Here is a 19,458-nt window from a genome sequence, read left to right on the forward strand (position 1 = left end):
TCCTGCCCCACCCGGGTGTGGTCCCCACAGCTCTGCCAGAGGAGGCTGTGACCTGTGGGGGTCCCCGTACCAGCCAGGGCTCTCACCTTGTGGGGTGGGACGCCTGCTCCACATGGGGTGTTCTGGGGACCCCTCCGTGTGGAGGCCCTGGCTCTGCAAGCGTCCTCTCCCTGGGGACTGGCTACTGTGGCCAGGTGACCCCACAGAGGCACGTGCAGCTCTCAGGTGTGGCCTTGTGCCAAGCTCCCTGGGCATCTCAGCATTGGAAACTCAGCCCGTGGCCATGCCCCTGCTCCCCAGGCCTGACTCAGTACAGCGGGGATGCTCAGACTGAGTGGGACCTGAACTCCCTCAGCACCAAGGAACAGGTGCTGGCAGCTGTGCGCCGCCTCCGCTACAAGGGGGGGAACACGTTCACAGGTACGGCCCAGGCCTGCCCCTCCCTCTGTCCTGAGGGCGGACCTCCTTCTGCCGCCCTCCCAGATCCCGAAAGCTTGTGTGTAAATCGAGCTCCAAGTGGTGTGGACCTGAGCCCTGTTCACACCTTTATAGAGGGCAGAGTCACCCCCTTGTTTACCTTTGATGAAAACGAGGGCCTGTGTCCAGCGCGTGGCTCCTCTGTTCCACATTAGCAGCTCTGGCTGGGTCCACACCCGGCCCAGTCTGGGTGCTCACCTTGCAGGTAGGGTCTGGCTGGGGAACTTGGGGCCCTTCAACAGGTAGACCCTCCCTGCTCCCTTGGGCTGCTGCGGGGCCTCCTGATACCCCACAAGGGAAGGAGAGGAGCATCTCTGCTGTCCGGTTGCTGCCAGCCGAGCACCAGGAGGGGATGCTGGCAGCTGCCTGTCACTTTATTCCTGCTGCTCCCAAGGCCTTGCCCTGACCCACGTGCTGGGGCAGAACCTGCAGCCGGCGGCTGGCCTCCGTCCAGAGGCAGCCAAGGTGGTGATTCTGGTGACGGACGGCAAGTCCCAGGACGATGTGCACACTGCTGCCCGTGTCCTCAAGGACCTGGGCGTGAACGTCTTCGCTGTGGGTGAGCACCATGCGGCTCCCCCGGCCCTGGAGTCTCACCGCCGGGTGGGTTTAGGGTCGCAGCAGGGAGCTTGCATTGGGCACCTGGTCCCTGAGCCCCAGCTTCCACATCTGCGGCACGGAGCTGCACGCAGAGCCAGGCACCGCCTGGCACTCAGAGGCGATGGCACAGGCGGGCTGCTCCTTTCCAATCGCCTGGTGTTTGGTGCCCTCCGTGGAACCACCCCAACCCTCCCCCTGTGGCGTGAACTTCCCTGGTGAGATATTCACTGAGCAGCTCCAGCTGCCCCCTCTGGCCACCATCCCTGTGCCTGGTGACTCCCGCCTGCTGTGCCCTGGCAAGGAGCTTCCTGGCATCCTCCAGGGCCTGGGACTCACAGGCGAATCAACTCTGTCCTGTGGGGAGGAAACCCCAGATTTCGAGGCAGGAGTCCCAGGAGCACAGACCCTTCCTTGATGCCCCCAACCCCTCGGGAGCGCCTGGCCCAGCATGTGGGTGGCAGGTGGGCCGAGTACAGCCCATAGGCCTCTTTACTCCTGACCCAGTCTCCATGGAGACCCCCACCGCAGGTGGCCCCGTCGGGTGACCCCAGTGCAGGCCAACCCCACCTCCCTCCTCACGAGCAGGTGTGAAGAACGCCGATGAGGCTGAGCTGAGGCTCCTGGCGTCCCCGCCGAGGGACATCACCGTCCACAGCGTGCTGGACTTCCTGCAGCTCGGCGCGCTGGCTGGCCTGCTCAGCCGTCTCATCTGCCAGAGGCTCCAGGGTGGGAGCCCGCGGCAGGGCCCAGGTGAGGGGCAGGGTCACCCGCACAGGCTGCAGCCCCCCCGGCTGCTTTGGGCAAAGGGTTGGGGGGACGCTGTGGCTCCCGTGTGGTACCTGAGGCCGGCTCCTGTGGCTCTGAGGGGGTCTGCAGCACCCCCTTACATCTGTCCACAGAAGGGCTGGGGAGCAGCTTTCCTGTCCCTCCTGTGAGTGGCCACCAGGGGGAGCGTGGACACAGCTGCCCGTGCAGTGACCACCTGCCCCCCACTCCCGCTACTCCAGCAGCAGCGGCTCCAGCCCTGGACACCCTCCCTGCCCCCACCAGCCTGGTCCTGAGCCAGGTGACCTCCTCCAGCATCCGCCTGTCCTGGACTCCAGCCCCCCGGCACCCCCTCAAGTATCTGATCGTTTGGCGAGCCTCTAGAGGTGGCACCCCCAGGGAGGTGAGGGGGCCGGTATACAGGGCTCCCCGAGCCGGTCCTCAGCCGTAGTGAGATCTGATAAGCCAAAGGGAGGGCAGGAATAAAGGCCCACAAATAACTGGGTCCAGGCTGAGAAGGGGGTGTCGAGGGGCTGACAGCCCAGGGACTCACTGGGGAGCTGCGTCTGGGAGGCAGCCTGGGATGAGTGCATTTTAGTGGCCGAGGAGGGCAGAGCAGGGGGCGTTCCGAGGGTGCTGGGGTTAGGGTCAGACTCAGAGCGCCTTCTCCCTTTGATTGATCGATCGATGGATAATTGTGGTGGGCCTGGCACTGCTCTGTCGTAGGTACAGGGAGCCCAGGCCTGTGGGAAGTGGGGCACCCTGCGGGCCCCAGCTGAGCTCACACTCCAGCTGACGGAGTTCCTGTCCTGCTCCCCATCCCCCGGCACCCCCCTTCCTGGCTCCGTCCTTGCCCACTCTGTTCCAGGTGGTGGTGGAGGGACCCGCCGCCTCCACGGAGCTGCACAACCTGGCCTCCCGCACAGAGTACCTGGTCTCCGTGTTCCCCATCTATGAGGGCGGGGTTGGCGAAGGCCTGCGGGGCCTGGTGACCACAGGTAGGTGGGGCAGAGGCAGCGGCCAGGTTCTGGGTGGGAGGCCCCACTCACGGCTGTCCCTTGGAGCCTGACACCCCAGGGCAGCATAGCGAGCAGCTCTGGATCTTAACCACCCACAGTTGGCACCATCCCCAGCTTGCTGTGTGACCAAGGCCGAGTCACTGGGCCCCTCTGACCCTGGGTGTTCTCTTCTGAACACCAGCTATACCGTTGGTGTCATCACCTCAACTGTAATCACAGCCCATTATGCTGCTTGTCCACAGTGTTCATGGAGCTCCCCCCTGCTTGGCCTCCAGCACGTGGCTTAGCTCGCTGGGTTCTTGGACCCCCAGGGACTGCCATGAGCCCGTCTGTAATAGCCTTGTTGAGATGTAATTTACACACCATACAACCTGCCCATTTAAAGTGTACAACTCCAGTGGCTTTGGTATATTCAGAGCTGTCACCCATGGCCACAGTTCATGTTAGATCATTTTCATCCCCCCAGAGGAACCCTGCACCCCTAAGCACCCGCCCCCCCAGCCACCCCAAGCCACCTTCTGTCTCTGGATGTGCCTGTCCCAGACGTTTCCTGCAGGTGGAATCACACAGTGCAGACTTTTGTGTCTGGGTGTTTCCCAAAGCCCTTTTCACCCCCCGGAGGCCACATTCCTCCCATGACCTCAAGGCAGATGGCCTTAGACAAAACTGTGGGGTGGCCTTGTGTCCCCAGAGCTGGAGCCACAAACCTTGGCCCAAGGTGAAGCCTGGGAAGTGCCACTTTGAATCCTGTGCACCTGCCAGGCGGTGGCCGTGCCCACCCACTCTGGTGTGAGGGTGCCCCGTGCGTGGGTGTGATCTCTGTGTGGGCTCCTTCCTAAAGTGTCCCTGCATGGCCCCCCAGCACCTCTGCCTCCGCCCCGGGCGCTGACCCTGGCCGCAGTGACGCCCAGAACCGTCCACCTCACCTGGCAGCCCTCGGCCGGGGCCACCCACTACCTGGTGCGATGTTCTCCTGCTTCCCCCAAGGGTGAAGAGGAGGAGCGAGAGGTGAGCTGGGCCGGGGGGTGGCGGGGGAGGCAGAGGAGTGGGGCAGAGCGAGTGGGGGCTGGCCTGGGACGTCATGTCTCTGCAGGTGCAGGTCGGGCGGCCCGAGGTGCTGCTGGATGGCCTGGAACCTGGCAGGGACTATGAGGTCTCGGTGCAGAGCCTGCGAGGCCCTGAGGGCAGCGAGGCCCGGGGCATCCGTGCCAGGACCCGTGAGTGCTCCAACCCCGGCTGCCTGCCCACAGGCGGGTGCCCCATCTTGTTCCTCAGCCTTCCATGGCATGGGAGACCTCAGGCCCCCTCGGTCCCAGCCACTGCCCACCCTTGCCCCTGCCATGGAGGCCGCGTGCTGGCCTTGAGGCTCTGCTGTGCTTTGCAGCCACCCTGGCCCCCCCGAGACACCTGGGCTTCTCAGACGTGAGCCACGACGCGGCACGAGTGTTCTGGGAGGGTGCCCCGAGGCCTGTGCGCCTGGTCAGGGTCACCTATGTGTCCAGCGAGGGTGGACACTCGGGGCAGGTGAGAGCAGAGCCCTCCGGGGGCCCGAGTGTCTTGAGGGACCACAGGGCCCTGTCTGGCAGGCATGGGGTGGAGCCAACCATCAGATAACACATTCAAAACCACAGCGGCCACGAGGCACAGCGGGGGCACCTGGTGTGGGGGCAGATGTGGGTGTGGGGTCTGGGGGGAACCAGGCTGGGGAGGCCCACCCCAGCCGTCCTGCAGTTCTGTTGCCCTCCCATCCCTCAGGACAAGCCCATTTTCCCCGTTTCTGGGGGGTCGTGGGGTAGTCCTGGCTGCAGGTGCTGGGCCTGATTCTCCACCCCAGCAAGGGCTCCAGGCACCAGCTGGGCCTGCCATGTCGCCCTCCCACCTGCTGCAGACAGAGGCTCCTGGGAACGCCACCTCGGCCACGCTGGGGCCTCTCTCTTCCTCCACCACCTACACTGTCCGTGTCACCTGCCTCTACCCTGGGGGTGGCTCCTCTACGCTGACTGGCCGGGTGACCACCAGTGAGTGGGGAGAGGCTGGGGCTGGGGGTCCAGCAGGGTTTCTGTGTCCTTCTGCCCTGCTAGACAGTTCACATCAAGTGTTTTGGGAGCCTGCCCTGGGTCAGTGCTGAGCCAGGTGGGGATGGGCACCCGGACGGGTGTGATGGATGGGGGTATAGGGTGCTCCTGGGTGTGGCTGCCCCTCCTCTGAGGTGCCCAGGCTCAGGGGCTACACCCCCAGCCTGTGTCTCCACTTCCTTCAGAGAAAGCTCCCAGCCCAAGCCAGCTGTCCATGACGGAGCTGCCAGGGGATGCAGTCCAGCTGGCGTGGGTGGCCGCAGCCCCGTCTGGCGTGCTTGTCTACCAGATCACGTGGACGCCCCTGGGAGAGGGGAAGGCTCACGAGGTGGGCAGGGGTGGGTTTGTCCTTCCGAGGGGCCCCCCGTGGGCCCCTAGTCCTGAAGCCAAAGTCTAGGGCTCAGAGCCATATGTGCGCCCACCCTGTCTCCCAGGGATGCCTCACTGCCCGGCCCCCCAACCTGAGGACCCCACTGCACCCGGTGACCCCTGGGGCTCTCCTCTCCCTAGATCTCTGTCCCAGGGAACCTCGGCACGGCCGTCCTGCCTGGCCTAGGGAGGCACACAGAGTACGACGTCACCATCTTGGCCTACTACAGGGACGGGGCCCGCAGTGACCCTGTGTCCCTCCGCTATACCCCCTGTAGGTGCCCCTCCACTTCCCCTCTGCTGGGTGTGGGGCAGGGATGGCCCAGGGGATCCCTGACTCACCCGCTGCACAGGCCCAGGACCCTAGACTCCCAGAACTGCTGGCTCCAGAGCCCTGATCACTGGGCCTGGTCGTTGGAGTCTGCAGCACTTCCTTGAGCTCACACGGGTATAGGTGTTCCCCCAGTGGCCGAGTGCACAAACCACCTAGTGTCCCGCAGGGCAGCCCAGGCAGCAGCCCTGGTTGGGGGTATGGTGAGGGCCCTGGCAGGTGGCGTGGTGTGGGTGTGGTGGGGTGCGGTGTGGGCAGTGGCAGGGGTGTGGTGTGGTTGTGCCAGGGGGGTGATGCGGGCTGTGGTAGGGGTGTGGCATGATGTGGTGGAGGCATTACGCAGAGCAGGGTAGGGGCTGGGCAGCTGGTCCTCTGGCCACCGGGTGCCTCCTTTCTGGAGGGGCCTGAGCCCCACACAACCCATGCTCTCGGCCAGCCACGGTGAGCAGGAGCCCACCCTCCAACCTGGCCCTGGCCTCGGAGACCCCCGACAGCCTGCAGGTCAGCTGGACGCCCCCGCTTGGCCGCGTGCTCCATTACTGGCTCACCTACGCCCCCGCCTCTGGCTTGGGACCCGAGAAATCCGTGAGTCTTGGTAGAGCCTGAGGCTGCCCCACCTCGTGGGGCCTCCTGGAAGGGGTATGGCCACACTGTCTGCGAAGGGTGGCAGCTCTGCCATGGCGGGACGCAGAGGGAGGCAGCTGAGCCGCGTGGACGAGCAAAGTTGCCCAGGAAGTGGGGACCAGGCACCCTCCCTTCTCCTAGGTCTCTGTGCCAGGAGCCAGGAGCCACGTGACACTGCCCGACCTGCAGGCAGCCACGAAGTACAGGGTCCTGGTCTCAGCTATCTATGCAGCAGGCAGGAGTGAGGCTGTGTCTGCCACGGGCCAGACAGGTGAGTGGGCACCAAGACCCCAGACCCAGGTAGACCCAGCCCCAGCCGGGCCCTAGACCCCAGACCCTGCCAGCTCCAGACTCATCCAACCCCAGACCCAGCCAACCCCAGACCTAGTTGACCCCAGGGGTCACAGGCAGGCAGGGGTCCTGGGTGGCTGGAGATGACTGGTTCCAGGCTGGCCCCACCTGGATTCTCCAGGGACAAGGACGTGGTCACACTTGCCTGGGGTCTTCCACGGTGGGAGCTGCTGTTGCTGGTTTTTTGTCTCTTGCTGGTTTTCCTGGAGAACCACAGGTCCAGGGCGAGGGCTCTGAGAGGCATCCATCCCAACCTTCCAGCTTCCCTCTGGGCTTCCCATTGTGGGGTCTTCCAGTCTTGGCTTGCACGCCCTTGGGGACGGGGTCCTCACTGCCTGGACAGCTTCCCCGGCGAGGCAGCCTTCCCATGGGAGGGGAGAGCTGCTCCTCCCATCAGGAGTGCTCCTTCCTGCCTTCTCTGCCCATGAAGGGTTCCGAGCACCTGCCATGGAGCAAACCCAAGTCCCTGGGCCCCCAGGACACGCATGCCCCCAGCCTGCCCGCACACCAGGCATCTCCCTGGCCCCCAGGACACGCGTGCCCCCAGCCTGCCCGCACACCAGGCATCTCCCTGGACCCCAGGACACGCGTGCCCCCAGCCTGCCCGCACACCAGGCATCTCCCTGGCCCCCAGGACATGCGTGTCCCCAGCCTCTCCTCACACCAGGCATCTCCCTGGCCCCAGGACACGTGTGTCCCCAGCCTGCCCGCACACCAGGCATCTCCCTGGCCCCCAGGACACGTGTGCCCCCAGCCTGCCCACACACCAGGCATCTCCCTGGCCCTGCCAGTTCAGGGCACTCCTGGGTGACCAGTACCCTCGAAGGGTATCACACCCAGTGAGATGCCTGGTACGACCCGGGGCCCACTGGGCTGTCTTGGGGGCAGCTGCTTCACTCAGTGAGATCCAGAGGGGCAGGGACCATCCCTGTTCCCTTCCTTTTCTGGGAGGCGTGGGGACCACAGGCCTTGTGGGTGGCAGATGGGACATAGCACAGTCCCACCTATACAGATGGAGCACAGGCTGGGGCATCGTCCATGAAGTGGCCCCTCCCCAGCGGTCTGTCAGGCGTTGGAGGCTGGGCCGCTCCCACTCACACTGACCCTGTCTCCTCTCAGCAGCCTGCCCAGCCCTCCGCCCTGACGGCTCCCTCCCAGGTGGGTCCTGCATGCCCTCCCCTGCCTGCCCACCCACAGTCTCTCGGGCTCTTCCTGGGCGTGGGGGCCAAGGGTGTCGTGACCTGGGACCCAGTGGTGGTGCAGTTGGAGGATGTTTGGGCGGGTTTGTGCCTCCACAGACGTCCCTGTGGCTGGCTGGGCGGTGGTTATTCCTGCTTCTCACTGAGGGAGCCGAAGGTTATGTAAGGTCAGGGCCAGGAACCGGCAGAGCCCAGGCAGCGCTGGGGGCGCTGGGTCCTTTCCAGCCCCATTCCAGGGTCTCTGCTGACTGGAGCTGGGGGTTTCAAGTGCTGAGCCCGGGGTTCTCATTCGAGTTGCCTGAGAGTGAGGCCCTCCCCAGAGAGGGGCTGAGAGGTGGAGATGGTGGGAAGGCAGGGACTGCCTACTTGAAACAGGCCTTGGAAGGGGCTGCGGCCTCTGCCGCCTCCTGCCCGGTGCCTGCTGGCAGCGCTGATAAGCTGCAGTGTGAATGGGATTTCGCCCTTCACTTTGTACCAATTAGTGCTGGAAAGGAGCTGGGGCTTCGAGGGTGGTGGCTGGCACCTGCGGCTCTGCGCGGTGGGGCTCGCCAGGGAATGGGGTCATCGCAGGCCCCCAGGCAGGGTGGATGGAGCGAGCTGGCCACGCTGTGTGCCAGCAAAGGGGAACTCACTGACAGAGTCTTCCTCAGAGGGAAAACGACCCTGGGCGGGCGGGGGACGCGGTGCAGTGGGCTTGCTGGGGGGCAGGGGCGAGAGGTGGGAGTTGGGGCTCATGATCGGGGGCTGGGCGTCCACCTTGTCCATCTCTGGGTCTCCGAAGCTGGGCATTTGGCCCAGTGATTTACCATGGTGGCCTGGGGAGCGGCCCCTCCCAGTGTGTTGGATTCCCCTGGGGAGGGGTGGGGGGCGATGCCCAGCCCAGGGCCTGAAGCAGACCCCTGCCCACCCCCCAGCCCCTGTGCTGACTTCCCACCCACGCCGCTCCGTCACCCCTCCCTCCCACCGCACTGCAGCCCCTGGGTCCCTCTTGAGTCCCCGCTCCTGCCCCTTCCTCCCTCCCCTGCCATCTCTGAGGGTCCCTCGGTGCCCCTTCCCCCACCATCTTCCCCAGGGTTTGACCTGATGGTGGCCTTCAGCCTGGTGGAAAAGGCTTATGCGTCCATCCGGGGCGTGGCCATGGAGCCCTCTGCCTTCGGTGGGACCCCGACCTTCACGCTCTTCAAGGACGCCCAGCTGACAAGACGGGTCAGGTGTGAGGGCAAGGGCTGGGGTGGAGCTGGAAGCCCAGGCTGGGGCCGCTGAAGATTAGGAGGACATGGTGGGGGGGCGGGCATGGGCCGGAGACCTCCTGGAGGCTGTGGGACAGGGCAGCGCTGCTATGTCAGCAAACGGCTGACTCACCCCAGTACTCACACTTCAGAAATTCACATTTTACAAATTAATAAAATCTCCATGGGCAGAGTGAGGCCAGCCCCTTGGCATATTTTGGCAACCAAGTATGGATCTATTTCCCATGTGAGCTGAGGGCTGATCAAACACGCAGGAGCCCCAGACTGACCTGAGGCGATGGGCCAAACTGCCAGTAGCCGGATTTAGAGGAAGCGATCACTCAAATAGCTTTGCATGAGATTTGGGACAATTCCTGATATCTCATGACCACCCTCCCTTATTTACAGAGAACAGTTGTTCATCGTGACCCTGAACTGTGATATAAGCTGCATGACAGTTTAAGTTAAAATGGTTGATGATAAAGGCGGAAGCCAGGTGTGGTGGTGCACACCTGCAGTCCCAGCTACTGGGGAGGCTAAGTCCAGGAGGTTGAAACCAGCCTGGACAATGCAGCAAGACCCCATCTCTACAAATAAACAAACAAACTTAGCTGGGTGCGGTGGCAGGCACCTGTATTCCCAGCTACTCGGGAGGCTGAGGTGGGAGCATGTCTGTCTCAGGAGACGGAGGCTGCAGTGAGCCAGGATTGTGCCACTGTAGTCCAGCCTGGGCACCAGAGCAATACTCCGTCCCTTAAAAAAAAAAAAAAAAAAAAAGAAGTTACAAAGGAGAGTTATATTCTGTAACAGAGATTTTAAAATTATAGAAATATATATATTTAAAAGCTCACCTAGCACTGTTGGGGCTTAGGAATGTCTCTCCCAGCCTGTTTTGTCCCCACACAGCCGCCGGCCCATGTGCTATGCTCGGCCCTGGCCCCCTGGTCACCACGGTGTCTTCGTGGCTGAACTCGATGACTGTTCCCCGGCTTCCCTCACCATCCTCTCCCTCCCCCCAGTCTTGCTGCACATGCCCCCTGTGCTCCGCCCCCATGGCAGTTTCTCTTCAGGGTGGTATAGTTGCCCTCTGCCCTCCTCTCTGGGCAGCAGGCTGCAGAGCCCTCTTCCTCCATGGCCTCAGGTGGTGTAGACGCCCCCCGCCCCCCTCTCCTCTTCCTCGGTGGCCTCAGGTGCACGTACTGAGCTGGGTGTTCTTACGGGTGGGTGAGGTGGGAGCTCTGATCGCCTGCAGCCCGAGGCAGCTTCAAGGCCTCCTGGGTGCCTCCCCAACCTCTCTGCTCTCAAGCAAACCCTCCTGGGACCAGGCAGCCTCCACAGGGTGGCTGTTTCCATGAGTCCCTGTTCTCAAATGAGGGCTCCTCCCAGCCTTGTGGCATGAGCAGGCACTTCCCATGCCTGTTTGCCCTTCCAGAGCTCACAGCCTGAGAAGTGGGGGCAGATGGTTCTCCAGGTGCGGCCACCCAGGGTGGACCCCCGTGAGGGTTGCCACACCAAAAGAGGAGGGCTCCTGCTGTGTGGGGTCGGGAGGCTCCTGAGGTGGCATCACAGGTGCCCAGGCCCCAGACCAGTCTGCTCTCGGGATGGCAGGAAGGTGGCTGGGCATCCTAAGAGTGAATGGAAGACAGATAGGAGGCTACGGCCATTGGGACCCCAATTCTATCAGGGGCCCGAGACCCTGCTCCCTGGACCCCGATTCTATCAGAGGCCCGAGACCCTGCTTCCTGGAACATTAGGGGACCAAGACCCTGGTCCCACCCCTCAGGGTGTCTGGCTGGGCACTGGCCAGGACCCACTGGGCGGTGCCAATGAGTGTGAGTCGGGGGAGCTGCTCCCGAGAGCAGAGCTGCCTTTCAGTAGTGATCCTGAGACTCCCCTGTGGGGTGTCCTGGGCCGGCACCCCTCACCCTCACGGGCCCCGGGAGCACGGGTCTTGGTGAGCCCTTGCTGGGGTCATCTGGGATGTGACCTGGGATGGCCCTGGGCCTGGCGCCTCCAAGTACTTCTGTTGAATCCTCCTCATTCAATGGGAGGGATTCTGTCCTTTATGTACCCCATGTTACTCATGGGGAAACCAAGGCAGGGAGGCCCCAGTGTGGCCTCATAGACCCTCAGCTCTGTGGAACCACCAGTCTGGGCTCCTAGGGAGCCAGCGGCCTCCACGCTCAGTCTACAGCTGGGAAGGGTGTGCGGGTGCAGGGGTCCACCATGACCCTCAGAGCAGCCTCAGGGACTGGCACTGGGGCTGGGGCTGGGCGAGCGGATCGTTCTGCCAGGTTTGGCTGCCCTTGGGTCTGCTCATGTGCCTCTCCCTCCCCCAACCCCCACAGTGACGTCTACCCAGCCCCCCTACCTCCAGAGCACACCATCGTCTTCCTTGTGCGCCTACTTCCCGAGACACCCCGTGAGGCCTTCGCGCTGTGGCAGATGACAGCCGAGGACTTCCAGCCCCTCCTTGGGGTTCTGCTGGATGGTGACGTGGGCCCCGCGTCGCCCCCAGCAGTCAGGAGGAGTAGGGGCAGGGAGGCCCCAGAGCCCTGGGAGGCCTTCAGAGGAAGTCCAGCCTCCAGGCCAGGCCCTCAGCACCCTCTGGGTGGGAGGCAGGTGTCCCGGGCAGGGGGCTGTGGGCCACATTGAGGGTCACCTCCAGCTTGGCACCCTCAGGGCTGCTCCTGTCCTGTCGTGGGGGCCGCCCTGCTCAAGGTATAGGCCCGGCTGGTTGCAGCCCGTTCTCACCTGCTCCACCCCTTCCCTGGCAGCCGGGAAGAAGTCCCTGACCTACTTCCACCGTGACCCCAGGGCTGCCTTGCAGGAGGCCACCTTCGACCCGCAGGAAGTGAGGAAGATTTTCTTCGGGAGCTTCCACAAGGTCCTGGTGCAGCTCGCGCCCCTCTCCCCCGTTCCCCCAGCTCTGGGGCAGCCCAGCCCCACAGGGACCTGCCGGATGCCAACTCCTCTCCCTAGGAGAGCAGGACCTTCCTTGGGAGGGAACATTGACCTGGGGCTCTGTTCCTCTACCCCAGCTCTTCCATCTTAATTGGAGTTGAAGAGCCTCCCAGCCCATCTCTTTGGGACCCACAGACCCCGGGAGGCTCCTGCAGCAGGTGCCATTTGGTCCATTTTACAGAGGGGAAGCCGAGGCCCAGCAAGGGGGGGTTCTCCCAGGGTCCCCCGAAACCTGAGGTGAGGTCAGGTTCCTGACCCCAGGTCCCAGGGATGGGTGTTACTCCCCAGCCCTGGCCTGGCCTTGGGGGCTCAGGTGGGCACCGGCCCCGCCTGGGCTGTGGAGAACCTCCCGTGCCGTCTCACAGGTGCACGTGGCTGTGGGCCGCTCCAAGGTCAGGCTCTATGTGGACTGCCGGAAGGTGGCTGAGCGGCCCCTTGGGGAGATGGGCAGCCCACCCGCTGCGGGCTTCGTCACGCTGGGGAGGCTGGCCAAGGCCAGGGGCCCCCGGAGCAGTTCGGCCGCGGTGAGTTGGGCCCTGCCCACCTGCTGGGCCACGCTGGTGGGGGCTGGCAGCCTCTCTGAGCCCCGGGGCTGAGCCGGCTCCCCTGCGTTGCAGTTTCAGCTCCAGATGCTGCAGATCGTGTGCAGTGACACCTGGGCCGATGAGGACCGGTGCTGTGAGCTCCCTGCCTCGGTGTGCCCCGTCCCTTGCCCCTGTTCCACGAAGCAAGTTAGGGCAAGTGCCCACTGAGGGTCACAGTGCCTGGGGTCAGTTGGCCTGTCCAGATTGTCACCGTGCTGGGAGAGATCAGGGAAGGCTTTCAGAGGAGGCAGCCTCAGGGCCAGTGGATGAGCCCAGAGGGGCTGGACAGAGAGTCCTGGAGGCCCTGGGGCAGGCTGGGAACCCCTGGCTGCACTCAGGGCCATGCCCACCTCTGTGGGCCCAGCCAGGTGCAGATGAGTCAGGAAGGGGCACGTGGCCAGGCCAGAGAGCCCCTCTCATCCTCAGTGACTCCTCTGTATACCCTGTGCTGGGCTTGGCCATACTGGGGGCCCAGACGGGAGAGAGGGAGGGAGAAGGCACCATTCTGTCCTGGGGCTCATGCGGACAGCGTGGCAGGGTGGGAACCCAGGGCCGGCTGGACACACAGGGGCTCAGTGGCCTGAGTCCTGGACCTGCCCACTATGCACTTGGGCCCCTGACCTTCGCCCCTGCCTCCCAGGTGCGGGTCTGGAAGTCTCCCTGGAGCCCAGGTGTCATTGGCTAATCTCAGCTCTAGGGTCAGGCAAGAGCCAGGGAGAGGGTCTCTCTAATGGGCAGGGTCTCTCTTCTTCCAGAGGGATGGAGAGACCTGCCCCGCCTTCGTGTCTGCCTGTTCCTGTTCCTCAGAGACCCCTGGGCCCCCAGGACCTCAAGGACCCCCAGTGAGTCCAGTGGCGTCTCCTTGGGGTGACCAGGGAACACTGGCCAATGTATTGCTGCCACTGGTGGATGTGTAACCCAGGCCCTCCCGCCCCGGTCCATGCCCCCGTCCTGCCGCAGAGTTGGGATGTATTTCATGAGCCTCTTCCCTGCTGTGCCCGCCCTGGGCCAGGAGACAGAGGCCTGGCCCAGCCCCTTCCTTCCCCCAGGCTGGGCCTCCCCTGCGAACCCTCCTCTAGTGCGGAATCCAGTGATTCTCACTGTCAGGGTTGGGAAGGGGGGCCAGGCGCAGCTCCTTCCTTCCCCCAGGCTGGGCCTCCCCCACGAACCCTCCTCTGGCGTGGAATCCAGTGTTTCTGAAGTGTGAGGCTTGGGACGGATCCAGGCGCAACTGGGATCCAGAACTGTGCTGTGGCCACAGGGTGTGACGTGGGCCGGCTGTGAGTCACAGCCACTTGGACGGCCACTGTCCTGGGTGCTGGCAGCCTAGCTCACCTGCAGCAGGAGCTATACGGGCCCTCTACCCAGGCCTCAGGGAGGCGGCCCTCCAGGCCTGGACCCCTGCCATGGGGTGGGTCCTGAGAGGTCCTTGGACCTGCCATGGCTGCAGCTGCCTCTGCTCACCCCAAGGTTCCAGCGCCCCACAGGTGACGGCTGGGGCTTCCAGAGCTGGCTCTGGGACCGGTCAAGCACACTCTCTCTGAGCTCAGTGTCCACAGCCTTGTCTACTCAGGGGGCCGGGGTTTGAACCCAGAACTGCCTGACTATGAGAGGGAAGGATGGGCTAGTGCGTCCTTGCCCTGGAAACCCCTTCTCTTCCCCTTGACAGCAGTGGACAGTCTGGGGCTGGGTGGGGCATGGGGCTCAGGGTGGGCCAGGCATGGGGCTCAGGGGCTGGTCTTTGCTCCTCTACCTTGGTTGGGTAGTTCTGGGGGCTTAGCCCTGTTTGTGCCTCTGCAGGGCCTCCCTGGGAGGAATGGCACCCCAGGAGAGCAGGGCTTCCCAGGGCCCAGGGTAAGTTTTGGGGAGCCCTGGGAGGTGAGGGGCCTGGATCGTACCTACCAGAAGAGAACACCCCTCCCAGTGCATTCCTGAGAGTGCAGGGAGCTGCACGCAGCTTCCCTAGGCAGGGTGGGGTCTCCCCAAGCTGCAGACAGGCAGGGACCCCAGCACCCCAGGAGTCCAGGGGGTTTAGGCTGGCCTCCCCCATGTGCCTGCAGGGCGCCTGGCCCAGGCCTGGTTATGGTGCAAGTCCCCTTTTCACCCAGATAGGGAGGATGAACCCCATGGCCCAGCAGGGGAATCTGAGGCTTGGGGAGGTGAGGCCACCTGTCCTATTGGCCCTGAAGGCCGCCCTTGATTTCCATGGGGCAGGCATGAGCCAGATGCCTTCTGTGTGCCGGGCTGGGCCCAGGAGCTTAGGCCCACAGAGTATTTTCAGATGTCTCTAGGCTCAGCGCATGCGCGGCGTGCAGGGAGGTGTTTCGGGGGCGGAGGTTCTGGTTCTGCGGAGAGGGATGTTGAAGACAGCGCGCCCAGCGATGGCAGCAGCCCCCCACCCCAGGCGCCAAAGGGCCGCCCTCCAGGCTCGATTCTAAACATTTACCTAAACCACGGTACTGCACAAGCGTGACACAGATGCCGAAGGCGTGGTCGGCATGCAGCAAGGCCGCCCTCCTCCCGACCCCGACACCCACCTCTCCCCCGGCAGCCTTCCAGCGAGTTCCACATCCCCGTGAGCAAAGACGTGCGCCTGGCTCTGGCGGGGCTGTCCTTTTGCACCTGCGCTGCCATATTCCCTTTGTCTGCGGTTGTGCTGGAGCCTCAGAGCACATCTCAGGCACAGAGTCCCTAGGACAGTCGCTGGGTGGAAGGGCACACGCCCCTGTGCTTTGGGGTGGATGTCCCCACACTGGCCCGGCAGAGCCGTGCGAGGCGCTCCCCCGCGACGAGCCAGCGGTGACCTCCCACCCCCATCTTGCATTCCTGGCTGCTTTGGGAGCCGCGTCTGATAGATGAAAATGCATTTCTCTTCCAAGCAGCGTGAATGCCCTTTGAAAGTTGCCAATATTTTCTTGCTGGAGATGTCCTCTGACTTCTTCTCCACCGTTCTTTTTTCTTAATAATTTGTGGGCACGCTTTTTACTTGCTGGAACCAGCCCTGTGTCTGTGATGTGAGTTTTGACTGCGTTTGGCATTTTCTTGTCTTTTGACCTTGTTTGCGACGTGCGTTTCCATACAGATTTTAAAATAACTTTTACGTAGTCCATGTTACTGCTCTGTTCTATGGCTTCTGAATTTTGTATCCTGTTTTAAAAGATCTTTCTTATTCCGAGAGTAGAAATCGCGCCTCCTCCTGGTTCCTCCTGGTGCTTCCAGGCACTTTTCGACACTCCCAGGTGGATTCGTCTAGAGCTGATTTTGTTACAGCACTGGGGAGGACAGAGGACGGGGAGGACTCCAGCTTCACCTCTTCACAGACCACCCCTGGTCGCCTGAGTCGTTCATTACACAGCCAGCCCCTTGCAGAAGTTGAACGCCCTGGCTCTCGTGCTGTCCTAAGGCCCCTGTGTATTTTGGGGTTTTTCAGATGCTCCAGTCTGTCCCGTTGATGTGTCTGTTGTTCACAGGCGAGGGCTGTGCTGCTTAAATTATTACAGATTTCTTTAAGATGTCGATGCCAGATGGGCTGGTCCTCTTTTGTATTATTCCCCCAGAATTTTCCTGGCTCTCTTTGCTTATTTCATTGTTCAGTGAACTGTAGAATCGACTTATCCGTTTAACCTAAACAATTCAGTTGGTGTTTTTACTGGAACTGCATTCGCTTTATAGATATACTCGGGAACAGATGATGTCTTCATGATGTTGAATCTTCTCATCCAAAAACACAGCCATCCTGCCTTTTGTTCACAGGGCCTGTTGTGGCCCTCAGTACAGTGTGGGGATGGTCTCTTCCTACAGACCCACTCGGTTCTCCTTCATCCCTACGTATGTCCTCTTTTTTGTTGCTATTATAAGTGAGGTGTTTTCTCTCATTACAGCTTCTACCTCATTATTTTCACACTGGCCGTGACCGCTGTGTATGACTTTTGTACCCAGTTTTCTTTCTCAATTATCTTCTTTGTGGTTTTCTTGGATTTTCCAGGTTTACAGTGACATCACCTGCAAATAAACACTTCACCTTCGGCTTTTCAGTCTTGATCACTCAAATTTCTTTTTCTTGTCTAATGGTGTTGGTGAATACTCCAGAATTTTGTCAGAGAACAGTGGCAGTAGCAGATACTCTCATTTTCTTCTTGGCCTAACAGAAGTGCTTCTAGCATTTGACCATTAAAGTGCTGTCCTGGAAGCGGAGACAGGTGCATTTTGTCATGTGGTAGTGAAGTCCATCCACTCTTCTTTTATTAGATTTAAAACACCAAGAATGCACATTAAACAAGCTCTAGTGCTGTTATGGACATAATGAAATGACTGTGCGTCTTGGAGCTATTAATTGTAGGATATCCCTAAATACTGGATGATTGCTGCATCCGTCGAAAATCTGACGTGGTCGCTGAATTCTCGTTATCCATGCCATGTGCTGCAGAGCTCAGCTTGCTGACATTTTGTTTTGGATTTCGCACTGATGCTTCTAAATAAGACTGTCACAGTTTTCTTTATAGTGTTTGGAACCTCAGTTTGCTTTGTTCAAAAGATAATTTGAGTTTAAATAGCAGCAGTGTCCTCTGCCCCACAGGGTTGGATTTCCCATAAAACCTGAGTCTAGTGTTTTGGGGTCCAGGGCTTAAGAAAGTTTTCTGTCTCTTCCATACAGTTGGCCTGTGGGGGTCTCTGGCTTTTCCTCGGTGATTTCTGCAGCGCCCCCCACACCCCGTTAGAACCCAGAGTTGGGCAGGGGAGGGCTGGGGGTGAGGTTGGTTGGAACTGGCTTCACAGGCTTGGCTCTGCCATTCTCTAGCTCTGCAGACCCCTGCTGTGGGTTCTCCCAGACCCTCCCAGGGTGAGCAGTGAGGGTGCTGGGGCTGCCCCTGCTCCTTTAATGGAGGTGTCTCCATGTCGGTCTGGGTCTGAATGCCCAGAGGGCTGGGAGGGCTGGCTGTGACCCAGAGGGGCCACAGGAGGGGTGGCAAGCGTGACCTTGTCAGGCCCTACCCGCTGCCTGTGTCTCCAGGGAGAGCCCGGGCCACCCGGACAGATGGGACCAGAAGGTCCTGGAGGCCAGCAGGGCTCGCCGGGGACCCAGGGCCGTGCAGTCCAGGGGCCTGTGGTAGGTGTCACTCCTTCCCTGCCCTCCTGCCCTGTGCCCCCTCCGCTTCGCTGTCCAGCCCATCTTCCCCCTCCAGGGTCCACCAGGGGTCAAAGGAGAGAAGGGAGACCATGGGCTTCCAGGCTTGCAGGTAGTGTGGCTGGGGCCAGGGGGCCACAGGGGTTGGTGGGGGTGGGGGAAGGACAGGGATGGAGATGGGGAGTGCCTGGGGGGCACAGGGGTTGGGGGTGAGGCCTCACAGGCAGGGCCACCTCTGGATGTGACCCTGGCCCCTGCCTGGCCGGCCCCTCTGTTCTCTCCCAGGGCCACCCCGGCCACCAGGGCATCCCCGGGAGAGTTGGCCTCCAGGGACCAAAGGTGCCGGCTCTGGGCTTGGAGGGTTCTGTCAGGGTGGTAGAGACTGGCCTGGGGACGGGGGGCCTTGGAGATGGAGGCTGTGGGGTAGGGAGGGGGAGGTGCTTTCTCCTGGGCTCCTGCCTCACCTGCTGCACCACCCCCTTCAGCCTGTGGCCTGGCCAGAAGGCTGGAGAGCTCCAGCCCACCCCAGGCAGGAGCTGTCACTGAGGCAGGGTGGGTGGGGGAGTGGCTGGGTAGGAGCCTGGCAGCCTCAGCTGCCTCACCTTTGCTGCTTGGGTTACAGGGTGTGTTGGGTGCTGCTGGGGGGCTGTCACCATGGGAGGGCTGGGTACAGGTACAAACCCCACCCAGCTTGCGCCTTCCTTTGCCATCAGGGAATGAGAGGCCTGGAGGGAACTGCTGGCCTGCCTGGACCCCCTGGCCCCAGGGTAGGCACCGACCTCCCATGACCCCGACCCCCACCCAGGGTTCCTGTGTTCCAGGGGTCAGGCAGAGGCCAGTCTGAACACCAGCTGCCACCCCTAGGTTACCCCAGGAAGTGCCTGGGAGGGCCTCACTTCTGCTGGAACTTTCTGCAGGGCCCTGTGGGTGGGTGAGCGTCTGCCCAGGAGCACTGCATGCTCCCAAGTGAGGGCTCTGTGCTGAGGACTCAGTTCCTGGGAGACCTTGGAGGGGGGTCTCCTGGCATCGGCCTCGGGCTGAGTGCTGGGCAGGCCAGGTTGCCTCCCTGCAAGCGCCACTTTAGGGGAAGCCCAACTTGCAGTCACACTGGAGCAGCTGGCACAGCTGGGGACGTTTAGAGCAGCGTGCTGACAGTGCTGGAGGAGGGGTGCAGGGCATGGGGAGCCAGGGCCTGGAGGCAGGGGAGGCACCACCTGCCGGAGGAATGGCCTGAAGGAGGCTGGGGCCAGCCAGGCATCCACCGCCCTTGTCAGGTCAGGGGGCCCCTGGGACATCTGGGAACCAGGGCTGAAGTGGGAGCAGATTTGCTGGGGGCCCAAGCCAAACCCTGACTTCTGTGTCTATGCAGGGGTTCCAGGGCATGGCAGGGGCCAGGGGCACTAGTGGAGAGCGAGGACCTCCAGGGACCGTGGGGCCCACAGTAAGTGCATTTCCAACACCCACCAGCCAACCAAAGGTGGGGGAGCGAAGGGTGCAAGCCCCACATGCAACCACTCAGGGACTTCCTACTGACAGCTCAGGGACTTCCTACTGACCACCTAGGGACTTCCTGTTGACAGCCCACAGACTTCCTGTTGACAGCTTCCTGTTTACTGGCCTGGAACTTCCTGTTGACCCCCCTAGGGACTTCCTGGTGACAGCCCATGGACTTCCTGTTGACCACCCAAGGACTTCCTGTCGCTCTCCCAGGGACTTCCTGTTGACTGCCAGGGACTTCCTGTTTAC

The 19,458-nt window shown here is 62.3% G+C and overlaps 1 protein-coding gene across 3 annotated transcripts in view, besides 1 other annotated feature; it reads left to right on the plus strand.

Moving 5' to 3' along the window:
* COL20A1 (collagen type XX alpha 1 chain) overlaps positions 1-19,458 on the plus strand; it is a 41,621-nt gene that overhangs the window by 14,485 nt on the left and 7,678 nt on the right. For 2 of the 3 annotated variants that reach the window (XM_011528937.2, XM_011528938.2), the window contains exons 7-32: positions 301-420; positions 872-1,036; positions 1,663-1,827; positions 2,085-2,245; positions 2,711-2,840; positions 3,724-3,869; positions 3,955-4,078; positions 4,246-4,385; positions 4,750-4,879; positions 5,122-5,264; positions 5,447-5,579; positions 6,073-6,221; positions 6,402-6,531; positions 7,731-7,769; positions 8,883-9,021; positions 11,388-11,530; positions 11,817-11,926; positions 12,369-12,527; positions 12,621-12,698; positions 13,343-13,429; positions 14,388-14,441; positions 17,599-17,694; positions 17,771-17,824; positions 17,998-18,051; positions 18,426-18,479; positions 19,082-19,153. In XM_011528937.2, coding sequence (XP_011527239.1) covers positions 301-420; positions 872-1,036; positions 1,663-1,827; positions 2,085-2,245; positions 2,711-2,840; positions 3,724-3,869; positions 3,955-4,078; positions 4,246-4,385; positions 4,750-4,879; positions 5,122-5,264; positions 5,447-5,579; positions 6,073-6,221; positions 6,402-6,531; positions 7,731-7,769; positions 8,883-9,021; positions 11,388-11,530; positions 11,817-11,926; positions 12,369-12,527; positions 12,621-12,698; positions 13,343-13,429; positions 14,388-14,441; positions 17,599-17,694; positions 17,771-17,824; positions 17,998-18,051; positions 18,426-18,479; positions 19,082-19,153 — 2,975 coding nt within the window. The remainder of the gene's footprint in view (positions 1-300; positions 421-871; positions 1,037-1,662; positions 1,828-2,084; positions 2,246-2,710; positions 2,841-3,723; positions 3,870-3,954; positions 4,079-4,245; positions 4,386-4,749; positions 4,880-5,121; positions 5,265-5,446; positions 5,580-6,072; positions 6,222-6,401; positions 6,532-7,730; positions 7,770-8,882; positions 9,022-11,387; positions 11,531-11,816; positions 11,927-12,368; positions 12,528-12,620; positions 12,699-13,342; positions 13,430-14,387; positions 14,442-17,598; positions 17,695-17,770; positions 17,825-17,997; positions 18,052-18,425; positions 18,480-19,081; positions 19,154-19,458) is intronic. The other variant, NM_020882.4, reaches the window with a different exon arrangement.
* Positions 13,268-13,768: an enhancer, noted in NCBI's record as "H3K4me1 hESC enhancer chr20:61952290-61952790 (GRCh37/hg19 assembly coordinates)". NCBI's record gives its function as "activates a minimal SCP1, AML or CMV promoter by ChIP-STARR-seq in naive H9 embryonic stem cells {active_cell/tissue: H9 hESC(naive)}" and the evidence as "EXISTENCE:reporter gene assay evidence [ECO:0000049][PMID:30033119]".

This window comes from Homo sapiens, chromosome 20, assembly GCF_000001405.40.
Source record: "Homo sapiens chromosome 20, GRCh38.p14 Primary Assembly".
Lineage (NCBI taxonomy): Eukaryota > Metazoa > Chordata > Mammalia > Primates > Hominidae > Homo > Homo sapiens.